The sequence below is a fragment of the Homo sapiens genome, chromosome 5 (genome assembly GCF_000001405.40).
Source record: "Homo sapiens chromosome 5, GRCh38.p14 Primary Assembly".
Lineage (NCBI taxonomy): Eukaryota > Metazoa > Chordata > Mammalia > Primates > Hominidae > Homo > Homo sapiens.
Window position 1 is genome coordinate 56,274,504 of NC_000005.10, and position 6,000 is coordinate 56,280,503.

The 6,000-nt window shown below is 45.5% G+C and overlaps 1 pseudogene, besides 1 other annotated feature; it reads right to left on the bottom strand.

Annotated features, from left to right (window-relative positions):
- On the bottom strand, positions 572–2,123 carry PSMC1P4 (proteasome 26S subunit, ATPase 1 pseudogene 4; annotated as a pseudogene).
- Positions 4,971–5,574: an enhancer, noted in NCBI's record as "H3K27ac hESC enhancer chr5:55575301-55575904 (GRCh37/hg19 assembly coordinates)". NCBI's record gives its function as "activates a minimal SCP1, AML or CMV promoter by ChIP-STARR-seq in primed H9 embryonic stem cells {active_cell/tissue: H9 hESC(primed)}" and the evidence as "EXISTENCE:reporter gene assay evidence [ECO:0000049][PMID:30033119]".

Sequence of the window (6,000 nt, forward strand, 5' to 3'; positions counted from 1 at the left end):
TATGGAAAATATTCAAATTTTCCAGGAAAAGGGATGATCGGATGACAAGAACACCTCTGTTTCTGTCCCCATTATTTCTACTAGTCATTCACTTTTGCATGAGCCAGAGTTGATACTCTTATTAAATGCTTGGTGTTTGGAAAAGTTTGTGAGGCCAACATTTGCCTTAGGTACTGGTCAGACAAAGCTGAACCTGATGAGAGAGAAGAGGTCATCAGATTGCACATACTTAAAAAGTAAAGAAACTCTAGGTAGTCTTGCCTCCCACCCAGGCTTAAAGAGTTGGCATCAAGGTGCTCAAATGGACCCAACACAGAGACTGGCGATGCTTTCAGGTTTGGTTCTGTTTGCTGCTCTTATAAACTCATTTTGTGTCCAAGTGGCTTGCTCTGTCAGATGAAACCTTGGAAAGGTAAAAAATCCTTCTCAAGTCAAATTTTCATCTTCCTTTGAAATCTCTGAACCCATTAACTCGGGACATTAACCAGCACTTTCATGTTACCCACCTGAGACCACCTCTTGTTCAGCATCAACCATCTTTTTTTTTTTTTTTTTTTTTTTTTTTTTTTTTTTTGTGAAAGAGCATGCTTTATTTGGAAGCAGAGTGCTGCACAGTGACCGACAGATGAAGGCCACCCATTGGGCACTCACACATCGTACTCCAAAATACACACAGGATGCTTTGCTAATAAAAATCAATGGGAACAGGGATTCCTCTGGGCAACTCCCCCAACCTCATCCCTTTCAGGGGTTGGGAAATCTCCCAACCATCTTCCTGATGGCAGCGGTGGTTCACTAGAGATAAAGCCCCTCAGGGATGCCTTCGTGTTTCTTATAAAGAACACTTTCTATAGATTTTTTGAAGTCTTCATTTGTTGCTTTCATTCTATGTTCTCTTAAGGCCATCAGACCAGCTTCTGTACAGATTGCCTTGATGTCAGCACCAGAGAAGTCATCTTTAGCCATGATCAAGTCGTCCAGGGTTACATCATTGGCCAGTGTCATCCTGCTTGTGTGAATCTGAAAGATGTGCTTCTTAGTCTTTTCATCAGGCAGGTGGAACTCGATCTTCTTGTCAATGCGGCCTGGTCTGATAAGTACTGGATCCAAAGTTTCTACTTGTTTTGTGGCCATGATAACTTTCACATCTTCCCTAGAATCAAATCCACCCAATTGGTTCAACAGTTCCAATTCCAACATTGTTTGCTGAATTTCTCTCTCACCACCAGAATTGGAGTCATATCTTTTTGTCCCAATGGCTTCAATTTCATCAGTAAACATGATGGATGGTGCATGTTCTTCAGCAACTTGAAATACTTGCCGTACGAGTTTGGGCCCATCACCTAGGTACTTCTGAATAAGTTCAGAGCCAACCACTCTCAAGAAAGTGGCTGAGGTTTGGTTTGCTACTGCTTTGGCTAACAAGGTTTTTACCTGTGCCAGGTGGACCACAGAGAATGACCCCTTTAGGAGGCTTTGTACCCATCTCTTCATAATATTCAGGATGGGGGAGAGGAAGCTCCATAGATTCCTTAATTTCCTGAATTTGGTTGTCCAACCCCCCAGTATTGACATAGGTCTCCTGGGGGGCCTTCTCCACCTTCATCATTGTGACCAGGGGACCCGTATCATCCATCAGCACCCCTATCACCGCATGTACCTTGTGTCTGAGCAGAATCGAGCAGCCAGGTTCCAGCAGATCCTTCTCTACAAATGAAATAATGCTGTCATAGTGTTCTGAGCCCACAGATGTAGACACAATGGCATGATTGTCATCGATGATCTCTTCCAAGTTTCCTACTGACATTGGGGTCCCCCTCAGATCATCCACTTTTGATCTTCCCTCCTCTTGCTTTTCTTCTAATAGTTTTATTTGTTCCTGATTTCTAATGAATTCTTCCACCATGAGAAGGTAGTCTTTAATTCTCTCTAACTTCAGTAATTTTAACCGACACTGAGTGTGAAGTGTCACCAGTGGCAGTTTACTGGCAACATCTTGTCCCTTTGTTTTTTCTTCTTTTTCCGCCACTCTAGTTGGTACAAGAGGTTAGTACTTATTTTTCTTGTCCTTTTCATCCTTCTTGCCACGTCTAGGACCATGACCATCACCCTGACTTTGACCCACCTTGTCTTGGCCACTTGAGCTGCCACTGCTGGAAGTTCCTCCACCTCAACTATCATTTCTAAGTTCCTAATTTTTGATGCGTATTTTCTCTTGGGGATACTCACACTGGAAGGCTACCAACTTATATGTTTTCAAGAGAATAAACAGGTACTACATAAATGAATGAAGTGGGCTTGGTGTAAGACACTGGGGAGGGTAAAATATACAGAATGTCAGCTCTTGATGGGTGTTAAGGAGAGAAGTAAAGCAGGGAAAGGTGTTGGGATATGTACCTGTGGGACAGAGTAGGTGTGATGGTCAGGTTCCTGTGTCAGCTTGGCTAGGCTATAGTACCCAATGCTTAATCAAATACTAACCTAGGTGCTGCTGTGAAGGTATTTGGGGATGTGATGAACATTCACAAATAGTAGACTATAAGTAAAGCAGATTATCTTTCATAATGTGGTTGGGCCTCACCTCATCCCTTGAAGGCCTTAAGAGCAAAAATTGAGGTTTCCCAGAGAAGAAGAAATTCTGCCCTAAGACTAAAGCATCAACTCCCACCTATTCCAGCTGCTGGCCTTCCCTGCAGGCTTCAGACTTGCCAGGCTCCACAATCCCATGAGCCAATTCCTTGAAACAGATCTGAGTGTGTATGCATGTACATATTCACATATATGTACACACACACACACATACACACATTCACATCCTATTGGTGCTGTTTCTCTGGGAAATCCTGACTGATCCAGGCTCAATTTTGGATTCAGAAGCTTTTGGACATTCAGTTTGCTAATTTCAAGTCTTTGCTCAAGTGTCACATTCTCAGAGATGCCAGTCCAATCATTCTATTGAATATGAAAAATTAATCATCTTCCCAATCTGTATTCCTGATCCCCTGACCCCACTCTATTTCTTCCCACAGCAATGTAATTTTTCACATAACTGTGTTACTATTTGTGTTTATTTTCTATCACTCCTAGTATATAAGCTTCATGATAGCAGGTGTCATAGGATGACTTCCCTGGGAACAAAACTCTGAGCTGGAGATTTGTGTGCAAGGAGGGTTATGGCGGTGGGTGCTCTCAGGCACAGCAGCCACAGGGTGTGAAGGAAGCAAGATTGGGCACAGAGAAGACTTGAACTGTGATTCAGTTGCAACAGAGGTCTCCACTGATTCCCAGGGGAGCCCTGAAGCTGGGGAAGTGCTTCAGGGATGTCCTGAATTGAGACAAAGGGGGCGGGCCCCAAATCAGCCAGTCATTGGATGCAGAGTGTCCCCAGGAAGGGGACACAGCTCCCTTTGGCCAAGGGCAATTCATAGGGAGGACTCAATGTGGGTCATCAGCCAGTAACAATCCTGGCAGCTGGGGAATGAGCAGAGTGACCCTGAACAAGGATCTGGGCAGTGCACCTGGCAGGCAGCAGCCATCTTTATTTCTCTATTGCTGCATCCTCAGTTCCCAGGACAGGGCCAGGATTGTTGAATGGATGGGTGGGTGGATGAATGAATGAATGAATGAATGAATTGTTTTCAGAAAGGTCGGCATGTACAAACAGGATATGGCCACTGCTCTCAGTTGATGGGCAGAATGACAAGAGGATAAAAATAGAAAATAGGCTAATATGATCACAAAAACCATTAAGGCAGTAAAAAACAAAGAATGATAAATGAGAGAATAGAGGCTTAGGGCTATTCGAGGGAAGGGCAGTAAATACATTTATATGACAGGGCTTAGGGCTATTCGAGGGAGGAGCACTAAATACATTTATATGACAGAGTTTCCATGTCTTACACACAGATCCTGAGCAGTTGTAGGCCCAGGGTGTGCTGTTACTGGCCTGAGCAGGACCCAGGGTTAAAGAAAGCATCCTGCGAACACAAGGAACAACTGGCTCCCGTGACAGAACTTTTAACCAGCCTTTTCTCAAATCTGTTGACTTAACGCAGGCCAGGGAATTCTTTGAAAGGCAACATGGCTATAAATCAGCAAGTCCTGCGAACGTGCATTCCAGGGTCTTGGAGGAAAGGGCTGCACACAAAAGCACCTCTTCTAAGTCTTCAGGAATGCTGTGGTGAGTGGCCCTGGAGGTCTCGGGGTTAGACTCTGGGGCTGGGAATGAAAAGCATCCAGGAAAGGGGAGAAGGGAAGCCCCAGCAGAGCAGCGCAGCTTGCTTCTAAGGACAGCAATGGACACCTAACACCCGGAGTGGTGCCTAGCAGATTCTAGTCACTCAATGAATGTCTGCTGAGTGACTGAAGAATAGTCAGGGACCTTGATTCTGGCCCTAGTTCTGTCATTCACTTGCCATGTGACCTTCAGGAGGTCTCTTTGCTTCTCTGAGTCTTGTTCATCCTGTCTGTAAAATATTGGGCTTAAGCACAAATGGAATCTTTGGGAATGAATGGCTCATGACAGTCTGAATTTATTTACTTTATTTATTTTTGAAATGGGGTCTCACTCTGTTGCTCAGGCTGGAGTGCAGTGGCACCATCATGGCTCAACCTCCTGGGCTCAGGTGATCCTCCCACCTCAGCCTCCTGAGTAGCTTGGACCACAGGCGTGCACCACCATGCCCAGCTAATTTTTGTATTTTTTCTAGAGACAGGGTTTCACCATGTTGCCCAGGCTAGTCTCAAATTCCTGGGCTCAAGCAATCTGCCCACCTCAGCCTCCCAAAGTGCTGGGATTACAGTTGTGAGCCACAACGCCAGCTGAATTAAAAAGCATTTGAAGAGGTGCCTGAAGCTGTGGAAGGCAGGAGACGTAAGAAGCCCATATGGCAGAGTTTCCTGAGCTAATGTGAGCACATGCGATGATCGGGGCTGCTAAGGGAAGTAAGCAATTCCTGCTATGGCTGCCACACCCCAGTGGGACTTGCAGGGGAATAACAGGACACTGCTGTGTCCACCACTCCAGGAGAAATGTCTCTTCCAGAGCTGCTGAAAACACAACAGATCTCCCTCTGGGGCAGCCTGACGCCAGAGGCCGAGGGGAAAGAGGAAAGTGCTGTCTGATGCCCACTGCAACTTCCATTCTATCTGAGGCAGGCCATTTCCTAAGGCTTGGAGGCTGGCAGAATGGCAATCAATTTCAGTCAACTGCCTGCTCACTTCCATCAGTGGCTTGATGTGGCACAAAGAATGACAGGCTCCCACTCAGAATAGGAGAGTTCAAATTCTAGCTTTTCTAACCCCTGCAAATCTGGCAACTGACTGAATTTCTCTGGATCTATAAAATGGGACTAATTCTGTCTACATCACAGGTATGATTAAACTGGAGAAGATTTGTATGAAACCAGCACAAGTTTCCCCCCCCCACCCCTTCTCTCCCTTTCTCCCTCTACCTTCACTCCTTCCTTCTGTGCAAGCCAGCCTAGCTAGCTGGAACAGGACATAAACAAGGCCAAGGGCATGAGTTTGATGCCCATATAGGACCAGAGTCCTGGATAGACAACTCGCAAGTTGTGTGCTCATGCTTCTCATCACAGAACAAAGGCAGTTTGCCACTGACCAGTGTCACTGTGGACAAATACTATTTATTCAGCAAGGATGCCAAGCATTTTTAATCCCTGACTCGTCAGGAAGAAGAATTTGGCAAAGGGGGGAATGGGGGTGGGGAATAAATGGGAATAAATCCAAGTGAGGCAAGAATGTAATTAGGAGGGTCAGATTCTACTGCTCTGGAGCACAGAAGGAGAAGGGAGGAGGTGGTCCTTTCCCTTGGAAGAATTGGCACAAGGACCCCAATTCTCCCTTTGTAAACCTGGAAAAGAGAGCCCCTTGAAAAATTTTGGGGTTTTCATTCTCCCTCCTGGAGTTGCTCTGAATCCCATGGCTGTGGATCCCTGCGGAGTGGTGATATAATGGAAATGAGTCCTCAAATATCTCCAT